Consider the following 21,089-nt stretch of genomic DNA (forward strand, 5'->3'; position numbering starts at 1 on the left):
CCAGCACCCAGAAAGGTGCCCAGCAAATGAGGAGTTGCTTGAAAAATATGTGTTCAGTAAATTAGCAAATTAATATAAAGAGCATAATATGGAAAAATAAGTGTTTCAGGGCTCCTAAGGGGTACAGGGGCCAAGGGAAACATCTACTTTGCCCTCTGAAGGTTTGCTGAAAATTGACTGGCAGAAGACAGATTAATTGGAGAAGAGGTATACACATTTTTAACATGCACTGGAGAGAATCACAGAGTGATTACCCTAACCCCCAGTGGGGACAGAGGCTTATAAACCCTTTTTCACAAAGGAGGGAGGAGATGAGGAATGCAGACAATGCTATTCAGGAGCAGTAAATGATTATTAGGAAGAAAAGGTGTGGAATTTAGAGACAGAAATTAACTTGTAAATAATACTTTTTGGAATTTGAATGACCCCAAGAGGCAGGCATTATCTTGTGAAAGAGACCATCCAGATATGGTAACATTTCTGTCTGAAATGAGATTTCAGGAATGGGCTAGATGGCAATTGTGGTTTTTTGGGAAGAAGATTTCTTAGTCAGATAAGGAAATTACAGAGAGAGAGTCCCTTCCTGCCCCAAGACAGTTTTAGGGGGACCATGATTCTGAGGCTTATTTATGAGGTCTTTTAATGTTTAAAAGCACTCACCATGCCCAGGTGTCATATATCAGGGAACCACTTCTGCACCCCAAAAGTCCTCTGTCTAAAATGTCCCTCAAAGTTTCACACACTAAAATCTAAGTTGTTGGGTGTGAAGATAATATTTGAGTTAATAGCTGAGTAGCAAAAATTATCATTAAACTGGTGTTCTATTTCTACGAGTAGACCAGTCCAATTAAACAGCTGTGTCTCATTTCAGGAAATGGCGTTGCAGATGGGCTCCCAAACAGCAGAAAAACAAAGGTTAATATTTGGAGCAGTCTATAAACGGATTTCTTTAGAGTCTGGAGAGCAGTCAGTTGAGGTATCCAGCTGTTCAACTAGAGGCATCTTTAGTTACTGTGGAAGGAGGCATTGGCGATCTGACAGATTTTGTGATCTGTAATTTGTATGTCACAAGGTTATTTATGCATAAACTTCAGCTTGCAAGGCCTCGGTAAAAAGGTATTATCAATTTCAGTGAGCTTAAAAAATAGGAGAAAAATTTGTCTGAAAGCCTGTAACCAGAAAAAAAAATAGGATTTAGTTTAAATTGTGGGCAAATAGCAAAACTGAAAAAAAAAAAAAAGATCAGAGCTAGAAACTAATAAGTGTACCATAGTTTTCTTCTGAAACATAAATTTTCCCTTTCCCGTCCCACAATTAATTTAGGCAAAGATAAATTTAAGCAAAGAAAAAGTAAATATGGAAGAAAAATAAATCTAGGGACCCCAAAATCACTACGCCAAAGGGAAATTCAAGCTGGGAAACTTGTCATGCAAACCTGCTTCCCAGTCTATGTAGTCTACTCCTAAATAAGATAGCTACAAAAATTTTGAAAAGCTACATACCTCCCTTACAATTTTCCCACGAAGAAAAATTCCTTTAGACAAAGCACAAACAGATGTCAAAGTTATCCCTCTGCTCACATGGGACACGCGCATCTGAGTGCTTCCTTTGTTCTGTTGCTTTACTAAGCCAGACTAAGGCATAAGCGACTATTTCTGTAAATTGTGTATTCAGTGAAAGCCTAATCAGAAACTCAAAAGAATGCAACCATTTGTCTCTTATCTACCTCTGACCTGGAAGCCCTCTTTTGGTTTTAAGTTGTCCCTCTTTTCTGGACCAAACCAATGTACATCGTGCATATAATGATTGAGTCTCATGTCTCCCTAAAATGTAGAAAACCAAGCTGTGCCCCAACCACCTTAGGCACATGTTGTCAAGATCTCCCGAGGCTGTGTCACTGGTATGTCCTTAACCTTGGCAAAATAAACTTTCTAAATGGACTGAAACTTGTCTCAGACACTTTTTGGTTTACAGTAGGACCAATTTATTTGCAAAATAAAGTCTTAGACTTGTTATACTTGGCCTGAGTATTTGACTAAAGTACAGCCAGAATTGTACTTGGCCATCTGAGCACTTTTTAAATTGACTTGACTGAAACTTTTTTTATAAGGAATTTCAGGTTCAATCTTTAAAAGCCTCTTAAGATTGGAAGCCAGGCCAGCAATTCACCATCAGATTTTGCCTGTAATACTTGTATGAATTGGGTAAATCCCTCTTTTTTGAGGTCCCCAAAATATCCTGAAGTTCCTGGGCTTGTCAGAAAATGGTATTCTTTACTTACTGCAAGGCTATAAACCTTGTAATATGGTTTGGCTTTGTGTCCCCACCTAAATCTTCTTGAATTGTACTCCCGTAATTCTCATATGTTGTGGGGGGGTTGCGGGGGCAGGGACCGGGTGGGAGATAATTTGAATCATGGGAGCGGTTTCCCCCAGACTGTTCTCGTGGTAGTGAATAAGTCTCACAAAATCTGATTTTTTCAGGGGTTTTCACTTTTTCATCATCCTCATTTTCCCTTGGTGCCACCATGTAAGAAGTGCCTTTCGCCTCCTGCCATGATTCTGAGGCCTTCCCAGCCATGTGGAACTGTAAGTCCAGTTAAACAACTTTTTCCTCTTAGTTGCAGGTATGTCTTTATCAGCAGCATAAAAATGGACTCATACACCTTGTAGGAGAACCATGTAGACAACGTATCAGGCCAGTTCTTCCAAAGGTTTAACAGCTTCTTAGTTCCTCAAAGCAATCTGGTCAATCTGAAAATATGACATCTCAGTCAAAGCTTTGGTAATGGAAGCTATATTCCTAATTGCCCTATCATAAAGAGAGCAAATTCTTATTGAAGTTATGCTAATGCTATATTGACATAAAATACAAATACCCACAAATAGTTTTCAAATTCTGTAGGGATCAGGTAGAAAGAAAGGTAAATGTTCCCATTTTGCTCACAACAATATATTTTACCCAATTGTTGTAAGCTGTAAATGGCTTAAAAGAAAGGAAGAAAAAAAAAACTTTGTCTTGACTCTGAAAAGCAAAAACTAAAAAGAATCAGCAATATTTCAAATAAAAAGAAGTCACAACAATTGTTTTGGTCTTTCATCAGTTCAGTCTCATGTAATTAATTTTGTTCTACTTGATGTTGGGTTAGTAATCTTCATGAACTCATTCGTTTACTAGAGTTTTGTAAGTTTTTACCTAATCCAATGGTATAATCTCCAAAATTATCAAAAATCTACATTCAAGAGTACTTGTTGTGGTCTTTTTCATGAATTTTCTTGTAGAAGAAGTAAATTTTTGGCTATAGCCAACTATAAACCACTTTTTGAAATGAATCAAAGTAAAGTGATATTGTCTATGAATGACAAAAGACTTAGAATAGCCATGGCTAAAGACACAATTGACAAGGAAATTTGATTATTTCTGTGGCTGACAGAAACTTATGAATGCCAAGTGACGTCCCCCTCCACTCTTCCAGTGGTTATTTATAGAATACAGTCTGAAGTTATCTCCCTGGCTCTGAAGGCCAGCCCTTTGCTCAGAAGTGGCAACATGGGGCAGAATTGAGTGATCCTTCTCTGGAACATGCATTTGTAACGGTGAATAGAATACGTGACAGAACGCAAAACCTGGAGGCAAATGTAAAGAAATCAAGGGCGAAGGTGAGAGCAATGAGCGGATGAGACTATGTGAGACGACAGGTGCAGAAAAGCTCTGCTTCTGGGGCAGGGGATGAACTGGGTTGACAGGTACTAGTGTTAATTAAGTTCTGGAGCCTCTTTAGCTCATAGATGAAGGACAGCAAGTCAAAAATTAAGGTGGCTGGCCACGGTGGCTCATGCCTGTAATCACTTTGAGAAGCTGAGGCGGGTGCGTCGCTTGAGGTCAGGAGTTTGAGACCAGCCTGGCCAACATGGGGACACCCCATCTCTACTAAAAATACCAAAATTAACCAAGTGTGGTGGTATGTGCCTGTAGTTCTGGCTACTTGGGAGGCTGAGGCAGAATAACTGCTTAATCCTGGGAGGCAGAGGTTGCACTGAGCCAAGATGGTGACACTGCACTCCAGCCTAGGCGACAGAGTGAGACTCCATCTCAAAAAGATAATAATAATAAAATAAGGTGAACCTAACTTCAAAATTTGTCTTCCCCAATGAAACATACTCACATCGTCAATTTTTCCTCATTTTTCATTTTCCTTCTCAAAATTCCCCTTTCATACAATATACTAAAATAGAATAGTTATTTGTATGAGTTCTAAAATCAGACTTCCTGGGATTAATCCCTGCTTATTTCATTATTATATGTGTAACCTGAGGCCGTTTGCTTAAATTCTCCAATCTGGTTTTTTTTTTCAGTTATAATTGTTTCCTCCTGTTATTGTTAAAATAATTTGAAATAATGCACATACAGATTTAGAATGTTGGTAGGCCTATAATACTCCATAGATGACTGTTGCTATTATTGTTACTAAGATTACAATTATCTTTAATCACTGGGCCCCCCATGAGGCTCTTTTGGGTTTTCCAATGAATAGGAAAATGTGAAAGTTGTGAGGACTTATCTCAAGCCAGCAGGTCCTGTATGGTTTTGAAGACTGCTGGTGAACCAGTTATTTTGTCAGTAATTCTAATTCCAGGTATTTGTTTTTCTTCTGTGCACAAAAGCACCCAACTCCTGTGGGATCATAGCAAGGCAAATATGAGAACAACAATGCTAAAAACTTCTCTGTAGCCAGATAGATCTTTTTCTTTTTCTAAATATTTCCTGAGCTCAGAATGAAGCCTTCAGGGAATTTCTCAGACTCTTTTACTTATACTATTTTACTAACAAGCTTGTGAATTAAGTAGAACAAATAATTTTTTTTAATGAGAAAACCAATGTACACAGAAGCTAGATGTATTGAAATAATTTAATTTCACTCATTTGTTTAAAGGACGTAAAATCATCTAGACATGGATTCCATATCTGCCCTCTCTGAACATTCAAGGTCCTAGAGCAGGAAGTTTTATCTCACTGGTGCAGTGAAATTATCTTGAAAGCACTGTGTATTCTGTAGAAGGGGGCAAGAATTCTATACACAGCTATCTCCTTTTGAAACTGAGAGGAACTTTTTTCTCAACATTGAGGCATGGCCAGGGAGCACATTCCTGATATCTGGGCTAAGCTTCAAACTAAATCCCAGCAGGGGAGGCTGCAGAAAAAGGAGGGACTCAAGGATGCCTGCTGGGCAGGTGCCTTCTCTTCTTGCTCCTCTCCCACTCTCTCCTTCCCTCCAGCTTTCAGAGCCCAGACAGGGCCCTGGCCTGCTCAGTCCCCAAGCTTTCCGAGGGTAAAGGGTAAAGGGGCTGCAGGATCAGCCCCCTCTCCAGGTGGAGGCAGCAGTGAGGCCTGGCCACTGATGAATCCTCCTAACAATGAGCTCGGACAGGTGGACACTTTAATGACTCTGCCCAGATTTGTGGCTGACACCCCGGCAGAGGAAGAGAGAATGATTAGAGGCCTCTGTCACAGGGAGAAATCATGCACATGGCCAGAGGGGCAGCTGGTTCAACTAGACCATAAGCTTGTCACGGGGATTAGTGGCTCCTCGGGGATGGCATGTGATTGGCAGCTACTGGGGGGAGAGCAGAGGAAATAGGGGAGGGGTCGTGCAGAGCTGCAGAGAAAATGTCCAGGCACCGCTGTGCTCTGTAGCAGTCCCCACTGTGCTTGCAGCTCTTCCCTCAGGAAGGCTAGGCTGGTTACACTGTCAAGAGAGTGGCTTTAGCTTTTTGGGTTTCTAGGGAGAGAAATTCTCCACCATTTGCAGAATCTATGAATCTGCTTCAAACAGGTGACATTTGCTATTAGGGGTGGATGATAAAGGGTGGATTTTCAGTCTAGTAATGACTCTCCAGGAGGAAATTCCCCTACTTCTCTGGGGAACCTAGTCTATTAATGCTGGAAAGCCTGAAGTACTTGTCAAGTCTCTCCCAGAAAGTGAGACCGTATGCAGAGAGGTGGAGGACAACTTTCCTAATCCTGAGCACTTGATCCAGTTGAGAAAGAGTAGGAACACATGGGAAACTTGGGAATTGCAAAAGAGGAAAACTGAGAATTATGAGGAGGGGTGGGACCATCACACATGAGGAGGGCATTTCCTGGCTCAAGCCACAGCTCCACTTCTGCATAACCCTGGACAATTACGTAGCACCTCAGTGCCTTGGTTGTCATCTTTGAAACATAGGCATAATATGCTTGTGGTTGCGAAGATATAATGACATGAGTGGACCGGAGTATGTACCTAATGCACACTCAACAATGTCTAACTATTTAATAGGAGAAAGATGCTGCCCGTATATTTTAGGGTGGAAGAATAAGATAAAAATTCACAAAGGGTAGCCCCATACCTCAACCCCACTTAAGACATTGAAATATTAATAGTTCCTGTCTAATAGTTTTATTTTCTAGTGAGATGTCACCTCAGTTTGTCTGACGATTCTGGGGATGTGAAGGGAATACAAAGGGATGAAAAAAGAGAAGAATGCATGACATAGATATTTAGGAAAGTGGAGAAGTGAACATATTTGAGATACATGATGGGATGGCTAAGCAGTGTTAGGGTAGAAAAGTATAGGGAGACAGAAAGGCATGGTCAGTCTCTTCCAAGGTTGGTGTATGGCAAAATAACTACAATGGAGTAAGAATGGGGCAAAGAAGTTGAATTTACATGTAAGGACCACAGATTTAAGGTACTTAGTGAAGAAAATGAACTCCAATGAGACTGGATGGATGGATGAATGGATGGATGGATGGATGGATGGATGGATGGATGGATGGATGGATTAACAGATGGACGGATGGATGGATGGATGGATGGATGGATGGATGGATTAACAGATGGACGGATGGATGGATGGATGGATGGATGGATAGATGGATAGGTAGTCAGATGGATGGATAAATGTATGTATGGATGGACGAATAGATGGATGGATGAATGGGCGAACACATGGATGAATGAATGGATGGATGGATAGATAGGTGGATGGATGGATGGATGGACGGATGGATGAACACACACAGATAGCCATGAGCAATACATGACAGTTCCTGATGAGAGTGAATAGATTTTGCAGCCAGGCTACTAGAGTTTGTGGGCTGGAAGGAAAGGCCATGGTTAGAGTGGGCTCCTTGAATTCATGTTTGAGATGCAACAGATGATAGAGTTAAGGGCAGAACCATGGGTCTAGGTGTAGAGTTGAAAACAGGTCCCTAGAGATTAGAAAATTGGGACTGAGAGGCCAGGGATCTATAGGGCACATGGATACGAAGACCTCAAGAAGACGGAGAAGCAGGAAGGAGAGGGGCCTGTGAATAGGTGTTGAGGTCTTCATGGAGTCAGGATGGAGGGCCAAGAAGCCAGGGTGACTGCTCTTGGAGGGAGGGCCCTTGGAGGAAGGGCAAGGGGCCTCCAGAAGGCTGGGTGGCAGTGGCCTCAGAGGAAGGAGGGACACACATGTCCACTAAGAGGAGCTACCATGTCCCTTGTCCCTGTCCCACTGCTGCCAGCCACTGCTCTCCTCACATGGCTGCTGTTTTTGATTTCCTGTTTATTGTGCTTTATATTCTAGTGCTATGTTGGTTTCAGGAAACACTTCATTTAACAAAAATGCAAATATATTCATTTTGCTGCCTTACTTGCAAATATAGTTTTCCCGTTAAAGTCAGCTTTGTCTTAATATTCTTACAAATCTAAAAGAAGCTATCTCTTAAACATTTATTATTAATTTATGTATATTTTTTCTATTAAATTTTAGAAGATTTGGTATTTGTGTTTTTTCTTTTTTGTAATTGACTGTCAAGAAACAAACTTCTAATGCTAGAGGATGAGACCCTGCTGCTCTCTGTCTTAATGATTCTGGGTTCCTTATAACCAAAACATTCATTGAACTTCAATGTGAGACTTGTAAGATTGACTGAGGGAAACATTTTTTCTGCAGGGAAGATTTATGGCAACCTGTAATCCAATTCTCAGGGCCCCCTTGACAGGAGAGCATCTTTCCTGTTTATCTTGTGGAGGCCAGAACCTTCACTGCATGGTCTGCAGGCTGTGAGAAAGGAATATCTTTTGGCAGTGGTCCCAGCCTAGGTGATATATGCTACCTTTTATGAGCTGCTGAACTGTGAAATCCAAGAGCAAAGGGACCATGGCTCTTTTTAACCTTTTCAGCTACAGCACTTGGAACACAGTGATAGTAATTATAGCTGTAACATATTGAGCATTTCTTATGTGTAAGGACACTGAATAAGCACTTTGCATACTTTTACATTCTTTTTCTGTGTGCTGAACATGAAATCTGCCCCCTTAATTTTTAAGTATACAATATAGTGTTGTTAACTTTAGGCATGAGGCCACATAGCAGATCTCTAGAACCTATTCATCTTGCATAACTAAACTTTATACCTGTTAAACAGTAATCCCCCTTTCCCCTCTGCTAAGCCCCTGGCTAATCACCATTCTACTCTCTGATTCTATGAGTTTGAGTGTTTCAGATACCTCGCATAAGTGGGATTGTGCAGTGCCTGTCCTGTGACTGGCTTGTTTCACTTAGCATAATGTCCTCCAGGTTTATTCATGTTTTCCCACATGTCAAAATGTCCTTCTTTTTAAAGGTTGAATAATATTCCATTATATGTACAGTCATGATTCACTTAACCATGGGAATATGTTCTGAGAAACGTGTTGTTAGGTGATTTTGTCATTCTGGGAACATCACAAACCTAGATGGCATGGCCTATTATACACCTAGGCTAGATGGTGTGGCCTATTATACATCTAGGCTAGATGGTGTGGCCTATGGCCTAGGCTACAAACCTGCAGTGTATGTTACTGTACTGAATGCTGTAGGCAATTGTAGCACAATGGTAAGTATTTGTGTGTCTAAACATACCTAAATGTAGAAAAGGTACAGTAAAAATACAGTATAGAATAGAAAAATAGTACACCTGTACAGGACACTTAGTATAAATAGAGTGTGCAGAACAGGAAGTTGCTCTGGGTCACAAGCCAATGAGCTTGTGTGAGTGAATGTGAAGGCCTAGGATGTTACTGTACACTACTGTAAACTATAAACACTGCACACTCAGGCTACACCAAATTTATAATAAGTATTCTTCCTTCTTTAATAATCAGTTAACCTTAGCTGATTGTAATGTTTTTACTTTATAAGCTTTAAAAAATCTTTCAACTCTTTTATAGTAATATTTAGCTTAAAGCACACATTGAACACCTATCTTTCTTTATATATTTATTCTATACGCTTTGTTTCCATTTTTTATTTATTTTTACTTTTTAAGACTTTTTGTTAAAAACCGAGACACACACATATCAGCCTAGGCTTACTTAGGGTCAGGATCGTCACTGTTGCTGTCTTCCACCTCCACACCCTGTCCCACTGGAACATCTTCAGGGGCAGTAACAGGCATGGAGCTGCCATCTCCTGTGATAGCGATGCCTTCTTCTGGAAACCTCTTGATGGACCTGCCTGAGACAGTTTTGCAGTTACCTTTTTTTATATACAAGTATAAAAAGGATACTCTAAAATATTGGTAAAACAATATAATAGCATAAATATGTAAACAGATGCATTATCATTACCAAGTATTGTGTACTGTACATATTGTATGTGCTAGAGTTTCCCACAGCTGGAAGTGATGCAGGTTTGTTTACACCAGGGTCACCACAAACAGAAGGGGAATGTGCTGTGCTGTGATGACGATGTCATGAAGTGACACGGGCTTTTTAGCTCGATTATATTCTAATGGAACCACCAACGTGTGTGTGAACCACCATTGACCAAAACATTGTTATTCGGCACACCACTGACCACACCACGTTTTCTTTATCCCTTCATTCATCAGTGGGCATTTAGGTTGTTCCCATATCTTGGCTGCTGCAAATAATTTCATACATTTACATTTAATTCTCACATGAGCCTCTGAGGCAGGTACCACAATGACCATTGGGTCTGAGATGACACAACTGACGCAAAGAATATTTTGAAGAACTGCTCACACCTCACAGCTAGGAAGGGCAGAGCCAGGATTTGAACCCAGAAATGAAGCTGGGGCGTGACTTTCCACGTCTGGCTCCAGACCCAGTTCCTCCCCGCATTCTATTCAAGAGCAGATCAAACGCCCACATGAGAGGCTAAAGATGACGCTGTGTAGGAGAGGAAATAGGAGCCCCTCTCTGTGCTCCTCCTTCCTTGCCTGCCTTTCTGGGGAGTCCTGCTTGGAGTGGGGGTTGTCTGCACAGATCCGTGAACCTGGTTTTCTCATTCAGGGAGATCAGAGTGTGTGTCTGCTAGCAGCCAGAATGTCTGGGCCTCTGAATAATTCAAGTGCCTCTTTTCAACGACAGTCACCCAGAGGACAAGCTGATTGCACTTTGGATGACCCCTGTATGTCTGGGTTCCTGGACATGATGAATGTCCTCATTCTGGTCTTCTCTGGGGAAATACATACATACATACATACCGTGTTTGGCAGAGGCCTCTGTGTAAAGTCTCAGTTTAGAGTTAGTTTTAAAGAAAAGCAGAAATGCTTCTCCCTAAGCCTGAGAGACCCCCACTGCACAGGCAACAGGAGCCATCTCTCCTTCCTCCTTCTCCCCTCTGCTGTCACTACTTTGCCCTGACACCCTGCCTAGCCCCATGGACATGCATTAGTCTCTCTCTTCCTATCAACTATGCAAGGCCCTTCAAGCCCCACTTTTGCTTTCAGAGGGCTTCATGTCCCCAGAGGCTGAGGAGCTTGCTTGTTTATCTCTTTTTCTAGCTGTACCTGGTCTGAAAAGGGAGACCGCATGCACCTTACTGCACCCCCTTCCCACCCCATCCCTCCTCTGCATAAGGAAATGGCCCAGGAACCTCTGCCTGCATCATCTGTGTCCCGCTCTGAGACAGTGCGTGCCTCGCTCATAGACCTTCCCCACTCCCGGGGCTGCTGGAGCCCAGCTCTTGGGCCTTCTTGGGACCACCTTCTTCCCTGAAGCCTGGTGCAAAGGAGGTAAGACACCAGCCTCAGACTGTCTCCGCCAAAGAAAGCTCTGCTTCTGTCCCTAGGAAACAGCAATGGCCTTTGTTTTTGGCTGCCCCTACCCATCAGACACCCCTCTGCAAAAGCCTTCCTTCCACTGAGCAAAATCCACATTCAACAATAATAACTATTATTGAACAAAATCCACATTCAACAATAATAACTAATATTGAATGTGTTATTCAACAATAATAACTAAGAAATACATGGTGTGCTTGCCATGGGCCAACTGTTTTCTCCAGCATCATCTCATTTAGTGCTCACACAGAATTACCACAGGGCACTGGCTCCAGGACCCCTGGGGATACCAAATCCTCATAGAAAGGATTGCTTAAGCTCTGTATAGAAATGGCATCCTACATTACTTGCAGATAAGCTATGCACAGCCTGCCGTGTATGTTACATCATCTCTAGAGTACTCATCAGAGCTGACATGATGTAAATGCTATGTCAATAGTTGTTATGCTGTATTTTAAAATTTGTATATTTTTTTTCATAGAGACAAGGTCTCACTCAGAATCCGATTCTGTCCTCCAGCCTGGAGTATGTGGTGCAATCCCAGATCTCTGCAGGCTTGAGCTCCTGGGCTCAAGCGATCCTCCTGCCTCAGCCTCTCAAGTAGATGGAACTACAGGTGTGAGCCATAGCACTCGGCTTGTATCAACATGTTATTGTTATATTGTTACTTTCTATATTCATTTTTTGAATATTTTTGATTTGCGGTTGGTTGAATACACCGATGTGAAAACCCATAAATACCGAGGGCCGATTGTACGGGTGATGGTCCTGAAGTGAGCCTGGAACTTAAGATCTCTGCTAAAAGCCAATCACTAGTATAACGTGAGGCAAAGGAAGGAACATGAGTTTTGCAGCTCGGAGTACTGGCTGGCTGCCAGAGCCACCACTCACCAGACTGGGACCTTTGGGCAAGGGCACAGATTCAGGGAATAGAAAACTCACCGATTTTTAACAGTATTATCAAATACAAGAAATTAGATAAGTGTTGAAGACAGATGGAGCAGAAAGTAGATACTGAGGTAACCTAGGCATTCAGAACTTAACGAAACAGCTGCTTTCCTTAGTCTTCAGAAAACAAAACAGAAAAGGCATTACAAAATCCAGGAGTTCAGAGACGGGCACCACCTGTCAAAGCTTTGAGAGTCTCAAGCAGCCAACTATCAGACCGCTGGAGCGCCTTACCTGTGCTGAGGCTGGGGCCTCTGAGGGGACACTCGGCCTCTTGGATCTTAAATTGCCAAGTGTCACTAGTGCCCTGATTGGTGTCCTGAGCCCAGTGCTAAGGAAAAGGAGCCGTAATTATGCACTGCAGCAGCAAAATTAAAACTAGGGTGCAGACACAGGAAGAGAGCCCCATCCAGCCTCAGCCTCCGATCACTGCCCAGCACCTCACTTTGGCATGACCTAACTGGAGACAGCCAGCCAGGGGTCTAGAAAAGTGTAGTTTGCAGACTCTCAGCCCCAGCATCATAGAGCAGAGAATGCCAGGGTGGCCTGGGGGGAAAGGCACCTGATGAGCACAGCTGGCTTCTTTTTTTGTTTGTGGCATGGGAATAATGCCTTGCTTGTAAGGATTGGAGCATCTAGCACAATGCCTGGCCTGTGATATCATCCAGAGCAGCTAGCATCACGACCATATGGCTGACAGTGCTTACACTGGAGTAGCTATTTACAGTTTTCACACATGGTCACGGCTATTTTCACATTTAATCCTCAGAACCCTCCTGGCAGGACGCACAGATAAAAGTACTAATGCTCAGATGGGTTATAATGATGGTGTCCTCCCTGGGACCCTGGACCCAGACACTGGGCAATAGGGTTTCCCAGTGTGAGTGACAAATGAGGAAGGGCCAGACCTCTCTAGGGTAAAGTGTGGGGCAGCCTCAGTCTTCAGAGCCTGCTTTCACTAAGGACACCACCCCTATTGCCCCCAAATTAGGACACTCCCCTTTGAATAAACCAGTTACATATATCTGAGGAAAAGGAAGATATTGAATGATTATGACCTTTTAAAATAAATAAACAAAAAATAAATGCATCTCCAAATATTTAAAGAAAGAGCATTTCATATAGGTACCTTGTCAGATTTCTGCATAAAACCATGGCCCGGGTAAGTTTTGTTGCAGAAGTGGAGAACAGATCTGGAACCTGCCTGAGGTCAGCCTGGGAGTGGTGATTCCACAGTGGGGTCCACAGTGCAGCCCGAGCCCAGGGGCATCCAGTCTCCTGAATGAACTCCAGGGTCTCCCAGTGGAAGGGACAAGCTCTGCCACTTTCTCCATGAGGTCAGCTTGCACGGAGAGACTCTTAGAATCCCAAGCTTGGTCTGGGTTTTCTTGAATCTAAGCCTAAGTGAGGCATAATTTGCAGGTTTCGCTGCTTGTTAATCAGTTTATTTTCTCCTGCAACTTTCTAAATGTAGCTATGGCACAGCAGCCCTGGAATGACAACCGGAGACTTTGTGCTTGCAAAAGCTTATCCTTCTTTGCTGGGAGTTCTGGGATAACGTGTAAGTGTGTGCATTTTGGGGCGGAAAGAGGGCAGAGGGCAGAAGGCATTTATGAGTTTCCCCCTCCTCTCATCTCTCTTAGATGTCTGTGTGTTATCTTTTCTTGGCAGAGGTCGGATCAGAAAACGCCATATGCTAGTTCACAGGGAATTTCCAAAGAGCAGCTAGCTCCAGTTGGTTGCTAAGAGACAGCTCCACAGCTGGACTTTGGCTGCAAAATTTGAACAAAAAAAGAAGAGCACAAATGAGCTTGCCAGGTAACAGAATCTGCGATGACTTCCCGTCCTGTTTGCTGGCATCTGTGCTTCCAGAAGCAATAAAGCATCACTTTCCTGCTTGTGATTTACATGAGGAGAAACAGGCAGACACTCTTCTCCAAGGGGTTTCCTGACCAGCCTTGAATCTGCTAGCCAGAGCCTAGCAGGACTCTGAGACAATGAGATTCCTGATGCTGGTAATGAATGAAGGACAATGAGATTCCTGATGCTGGTAATGCATGAAGAAAGATCAGAGTTATAAGTGGACTATGCTTCCATCCTCCCAAGAGTTCTCCTGGGGTTAGTTTAAAGACAGGGGATTAACTCTATTAAAAGTAGATTTGGCAAAAAGCTGAAATCAAACACATGCTTATGAATAGGGAACGGGTGAAATAAGTCATGGTACATCCACAGAATGGAGTATTACTTAGCTATAAATAGACATGAAGAATCATCCACAGAATGGAGTACTACTTAGCTATAAATAGACATGAAGAATACTTTTATGTTTAAAAAGTATTCATGTTGCTTTTTCTCCAGGATGAAATTTTAAGTTAAAAAAATTGAAATTGGCCGGGCGTGGTGGCTCACGTCTGTAATCCCAGCACTTTGGGAGGCTGAGGCGGGTGGATCACGAGGTCAGGAGATTGAGACCATCCTTGCTAACACGGTGAAACCCCATCTCTATTAAAAACAAAACAATACAAAACAAAAAAATTAGCCGGGCATGGTGGCGGGCGCCTGTAGTCCCAGCTACTCGGGAGGCTGAGGCAGGAGAATGGCATGAACCTGGCGGAGCGGAGATTGCAGTGAGCCGAGATCGCGCCACTGCACTCCAGCCTGGGCAACAGAGCAAGACTCCATCTCCAAAAAAAAAAAGTTGAAATTATGTGTACAATAGGTTACTATGTCTTTGAGAAAAATTTGGGTGATAAAAACAAATAAATTTTCTCATTTTTAAAAGGTCACAAATCATATTTTAAAAATTGTTTACCTATGAGTCAAGGAAGAGGATATTTTGCAAAGCACCTAGAAAAGCTCGTTTGAACTGAAAAGAGAGTACAGCACAGGCTCAGGACTGCTCACTGGGTGCAGACACACAGAACAGAACCCAGTGGCACTGCCAAGGCTTTGACATTGGGAATGACATTGAAGCCACAACCACGGAAGGTTTCAGAACGTGCGGCCTGAACTCAACCTTGCTGCTTGCCTGCCGAAGCAAGAACACCAGGATTCTCCACGGGATTTAAATGAGACCTACAGTGTCATAGCATAATATTCAAATACCCAGGATATGATCCATCTTATCTGATCTAGAAAGAAACAGGAAAAGTCTCAACCTATATCAGAAAAAAAAACAATAAACATGACAACACTGAGGAGACACAGATTTCGAATTATCTGATAAAGATTTAAAGCAGTTAATTAAATGTTTCAACAAGCAGTAATGAATACTCTTGAAATAAATGGGAAATAGGAAGTAATTATAATGTTATAACTTCTAGTTTATTATAACACCTAACAAATTTACATCTAACAAAAATAGCATCTAACAAATTTCTGTGCTATTAAATTACCTTATACTCAGTTCATATTCAAATTTTCTATTTTGTCTCATTTTCTTACAGTGAATTTATTTATATCAGAATATTAAGTCAACACATTTTATTCTCTCATGTTACTTTTTTTTTTTGAGATGGAGTCTTGCTCTGTTGCCCAGGCTGGAGTGCAGTGGCATGATCTCGGCTCACTGCAATCTCTGCCTCTCAGGTTCATGCCATTCTCCTGCCTCAGCCTCCTGAGTACCTGGGACTACAGGTGCCCGCCACCACGCCCAGCTAACTTTTTTTGTATTTTTAGTAGAGATGGAGTTTCACCGTGTTAGCCAGGATGGTCTTGATCTCCTGACCTCGTGATCCGCCCGCCTCGGCCTACCAAAGTGCTGGGATTACAGGCGTGAGCCACTGTGCCCGTCCCTTAATTCTCTTTTATTTTGTAACATCCCATCCTTCCTTTTTGAAGCTACTGATTTCTTGGATAAATTACTAGGTCATTTGCTCTCTGAAGTGTCCCATGTTGTGAATATAACTACTTGCTTCATTGCGGTTTTGTTTAAGTGGTTATATTAGCCTTATAAACTGGTAATTAAGCCTAGAGTCTTGGTTAGATTCAGGTTTTATTTCAAAGGCAAGATATGTTATAGGTGAGACTGGGTACTTCTACTGCACAGCCTCATGAGTCAGACAAGATGCAGCTGCCCCACAATCCATGACATAAGATTGGTCAGTGGTTCAAGTGGTGTCTACATAATTTCTCAATTAAAATATGCCTACCTTCCTCAGGGCTTTAGCTTCCACTGTTGATCACTGCCTAGATTCACCACTTTATTAATGGCTCAGAAGATATTGCTTTCTAAAATTCTGCTATGTTTATCAACATCTGGAGTAATGAGTTTAGCACCTGCTACCTCCAGTAAGTACTGAACAATATGACTTTAAATTATCTTTTGAATGCATAGATTTTTATATATTTGATTGTTTCAGTCTGTGTCCATTAGTATTTTTTTGATGCTCAATTTGTTAATTTTAGGCTAAGGGGAATTCTATTACTAGGCCCCTCCATCTTTCTCACCTGGCATCTCCTATTTTATGTGACAAAAATATGTCCCAGAATCATTTTGTACATTTACGTGCCTGGAATTGGTCATTACTCAAAAAAAGCCCTGGCTTATTTTAGTGAGAAGTAGTACTTAGAGACCAGAATCGAGGTCCTGGGAGTACATGATTTTATTTAGTCTTCATAATGAGTCTGAAATCTAGTTACTGTAATCATCCCATTTTTATTACAGATTCTGAGACTCAGAGAAGTCAATAAACATACTCAATGTTACAAAATAATTTGGTGGTGTTGTATGGCAACTTCTTGGCTTCATTCAGGAAGGAATTCAAGAGTGAGCTGGTGGTAGAAGAAAACAGCTTTATTATTATTATTATTATGCTTTAAGTTCTGAGATACATGTGTAGAATGTGCAGGTTTGTTACATAGGGATTCATGTGCCATGGTGGTTTGCTGCACCCGTCAACCCATCAGCTACATTAGATATCTCTCCTAATGCTATCCCTCCACTAGCCCCCTACCCACCGAAAAGCCCCAGTGTGTGATGTTCCTCTTCTGGTGTCCATGTATACTCACTGTTCAACTCCCACTTATGAATGAGAGCGTGTGGTGTTTGGTTTTCTGTTCCTGTGTTAGTTGGCTGAGAATGATGGTTTCCAGCTTCATCCATGTCTCTGCAAAGGGCATCAACTCATCCTTTTTCATGGCTGCATAGTATTCCATGGTGTGTATGTGCCACATTTTCTTTATCCAGTCTATCATTGATGGGCATTTGGGTTGGTTCCAAGTCTTTGCTATTGTGACTAGTGCTGCAGTAAACATATGAGTGCATGTGTCTTTATAGTAGAATGATTTATAATCTTTTGGGTATATACCCAGTAATGGGATTGCTAGGTCAAATGATATTTCTAGTTCTAGATCCTTGAGGAATTGCCACACTGACTTCCACAATGGTTGAACTAATTTACACTACCGCCAACAGTGTAGAAGTGTTCCTATTTCTCCACATCCTCTCCAGCATCTGTAGTTTCCTGACTTTTTAATGATTGCCATTCTAACTGGCATGATATGGTATCTCATTGTGGTTTTGATTTGCGTTTCTCTAATGACCAGTAATAATGAGCTTTTTTTCATATGTTTGTTAGCTGCATAAATGTCTTCTTTTGAGAAGTGTCTGTTCATATCCTTCACCCACTTTTTGATGGGGTTGTTTGTTTGTTTCTTGCAAATTTGTTTAAGTTCCTTGTAGATTCTAGATATTAGCCCTTTGTCAGATGGATAGAGTACAAAAATTGTCTCTCATTCTGTAGGTTGCCTGATCATGCTGATGACAGTTTATTTTGCTGTGCAGAAGCTCTTTAGTTCAATTAGATCCGATATGTCAATTTTGGCTTTTGTTGCCATTGTTTTTGGTGTTTTAGTCATGAAGTCTTTGCCAATGCCTATGTCCTGAATGGTATTGCCTAGGTTTTCTTCTAGGGTTTTTATGGTTTTAGGTCTTACATTTAAGTCTTTAATCTATCTTGAGTTAATTTTTGTATAAGGTGTAAGGAAGGGGTCCAGTTTCAGTTTTCTGCATATGGCTAGCCAGTTTATTAAATATTAATAAACACCATTTATTAAATAGGGAATCCTTTCCCCATTGCTTGTTTTTGTCAGGTTTGTCAAAGATCAGATGGTTGTAGATGTGTGGCATTATTTCTGAGGCCTCTGTTCTGTTCCATTGGTCTATGTATCTGTTTTGGTACAAGTACCATGCTGTTTTGGTTACTGTAGCCTTGTAGTATAGTTTGAAGTCAGATAGCATGATGCCTCCAGCTTTTTTCTTTGTCCTTAGGATTGTCTTGGCTATATGGGCTCTTTTTTGGTTCCACATGAAATTTAAATTAGTTTTTTCTAATTCTGTAAAGAAAGTCAATGGTAGCTTGATGGGGATGGCATTGAATCTATAAATTACTTTGAGCAGTATGGTCATTTTCACAATATTGATTCTTCCTATCCATTAGTATGGAATGTTTTTCCATTTGTTTGTGTTCTCTGTTATTTCCTTGAGCAGTGGTTTGTGGTTCTCCTTGAAGAGGTCCTTTACATCTCTTGTAAATTGTATTCCTAGGTATTTTATTCTATTTTAGCAATTGTGAATGGGAGTTCACTCATGGTTTGGCTCTCTGTCTATTATTGGTGTATAAGAATGCTTGTGATTTTTGCACATTGGTTTTGTATCCTGAGACTTTGCTAAAGTTTCTTATCAGCTTAAGGAGATTCTGGGCTGAGATGATGGGGTTTTCTAAATATACAATCATGTCATCCGCAAACAGAGACAATTTGACTTCCTCTCTTCCTATTTGAATACCCTTTATTTATTTCTCTTGCCTGATTTCCCTGGCCAGTACTTCTAATACTATGTTGAATAGGAGTGATGAGAGAGGACATCCTTGCCTTGTGTCGGTTTTCAAAGGGAATGCTTCCAGCTTTTGCCCATTCAGTATGATATTGCATATGGGTTTGTCATAAATAGCTCTTATTATTTTGAGATATGTTCCATCAATACCCAGTTTATTGAGAGTTTTTAGCATGAAGAGGTGTTGAATTTTATCGAAGGCCTTTTCTACATCTATTGAGATAATAATGTGGTTTTTGTCATTGGTTCTGTTTGTGTGATAAAGTATGTTTATTGATTTGTGTATGTTGAACCAGCCTTGCATCCCAGGGATGAAGCTGACTTGATTGTGGTGGATAAGCTTTTTGATGTGCTGCTGGATTCAGTTTGCCAGTATTTTATTGAGGATTTTCACATTGATGTTCATCAGGGATATTGGCCTGAAATTTTCTTTTTTTATTGTGTCTCTGCCAGGTTTTGGTATCAGAATGATGCTGGCCTCAAAATGGATAAAGAGTCAAGACCCATCATTGTGCTATACTTGGGAGACCCATCTCACGTGCAGAGACACACATAGGCTCACAATAAAGGGACGGAGGAATATTTACCAAGCAAATGGAAAGCAAAAAAAAGCAGATGTTGCCATCCTAGTCTCTGATAAAACACACTTGAAACCAACAAAGATCAAAAAAGACAAAGAAGGGCATTACATAATGGTAAAGGGATCAACACAACAAGAAGAGCTAACTATCCTAAATATATATGCAACCACTACAGCAGCACCCAGGTTCATAAAGCAAGTTCTTAGAGACCTACAAAGAGACTTAGACTTCCACACAATAATAGTGGGAGACCTTAACACCCCACTGTCAATATTAGACAGATCAACGAGACAGAAAATTAACAAGGATATTCAGGACTTGAACTCAGCTCTGGATCAAGTGGATGTAATAGACATCTACAGAACTCTCTACTGCAAATCAACAGAATACACATTCTTCTCAGCACCACATCACACTTATTCTAAAATTGACCACACAATTGGAAGTAAAACACTCCTCAGCAAATGCAAAAGAATGGAAATTATAATAGTCTCTCAGACCACAGTGCAATCAAATTAGAACTCAAAACCACACAACTACATGGAAACTGAACAACCTGCTCCTGAATGACTACTGGGTAAATAACAAAATTAAGGCAGAAATAAATAAGTTCTTTGAAACCAGTGAGAACAAAGACACAAAATACCAGAATCTCTCCTAAAGCAGTGTTTACAGGGAAATTTATAGCATTAAATGCCCACAGGAGAAAGTGGGAAAGATCTATAATCAACATCCTAACATCACAAGTAAAAGAACTAGAGAAGCAAGAGTAAACAAATTCAAAAGCTAGCAGAAGAAAAGAAATAACTAAGATCAGAGCAGAACTGAGGAAGATAGAGACACAAAAAACCCCTCAAAAAAATCAATGAATCCAAGAGCTGGTTTTTTGAAAAGATTAACAAAATAGACCACTAACCAGACTAATAAAGAAGAAAAGAGAGAAGAATCTAATAGACACGATAAAAAATGATAAAAGGGATATCACCATTTATCCCACAAAAATACAAACTACCCTCAGAGAATACTATAAAAAACACCTCTATGCAAAGAAACTAGAAAATCTAGAAGGAATGGATAAATTCCTGGACACATACACCCTCCTAAGACTAAACCAGGAAGATGTCGAATCTCTGAATAGACCAAAAACAAGTTCTGAAATTGAGGCAGTAATTAATAGCCTTCCAACCAAAAAAAGCCCAGGACCAGATGGATTCACAGTCGAGTTCTACCAGAGGTACAAAGAGGAACTGGTACCATTCCGTTTTGTTTTTGTTTTGTTTTGTTTTGTTTTGTTTTCAGACGGAATCTTGCTCTTGTTGCCCAAGCTGGAGTGCAATGGTACAATCTTGGCTCACTTCAACCTCCATCTCCATGGTTCAAGTGATTCTCCTGCCTCAGCCTCCTGAGTAGCTGGGATTACAGGCGTGTGCCACCATGCACAGGTAATTTTTATATTTTTAGCAGAGACAAAGTTTCACCATGTTGGCCAGGCTGGTCTTGAACTTCTGACCTCAAGTGATCCACCTGCCTCTGCCTCCCAAAGTGCTGGGATTACAGGTGTGAGCCACCGTGCCTCACTGGGAAACAGCTTTATTTTGTCAGTGGCAGAGTTACAGCTCTGTGAC

At 41.2% G+C, this 21,089-nt stretch overlaps 2 long non-coding RNA genes across 4 annotated transcripts; one reads left to right on the forward strand and one right to left on the reverse strand.

Moving 5' to 3' along the window:
- Positions 1–512: 512 nt before the first annotated feature.
- LINC02717 (long intergenic non-protein coding RNA 2717) lies at positions 513–13,615 on the reverse strand. 2 transcript variants are annotated; one of them, XR_948218.3, is made up of 3 exons: positions 13,178–13,615; positions 9,386–9,527; positions 513–2,753 (listed from the first exon to the last, which is right to left on the reverse strand). It is a non-coding gene; the product is annotated as a long intergenic non-protein coding RNA 2717 (long non-coding RNA). The 2 variants fall into 2 exon arrangements; XR_948219.3 differs by lacking the exon at positions 513–2,753 and adding an exon at positions 2,970–4,674 and having other exon boundaries at positions 13,178–13,603.
- On the forward strand, positions 10,310–16,671 carry LOC105369587 (uncharacterized). 2 transcript variants are annotated; one of them, XR_948217.2, is made up of 5 exons: positions 10,310–11,052; positions 11,582–11,716; positions 13,523–13,609; positions 13,720–13,866; positions 16,209–16,671. It is a non-coding gene; the product is annotated as an uncharacterized LOC105369587 (long non-coding RNA). The 2 variants fall into 2 exon arrangements; XR_001748469.2 differs by lacking the exon at positions 16,209–16,671 and having other exon boundaries at positions 13,720–15,513.
- Positions 16,672–21,089: the final 4,418 nt, after the last annotated feature.

This window comes from Homo sapiens, chromosome 11 (assembly GCF_000001405.40).
Source record: "Homo sapiens chromosome 11, GRCh38.p14 Primary Assembly".
Lineage (NCBI taxonomy): Eukaryota > Metazoa > Chordata > Mammalia > Primates > Hominidae > Homo > Homo sapiens.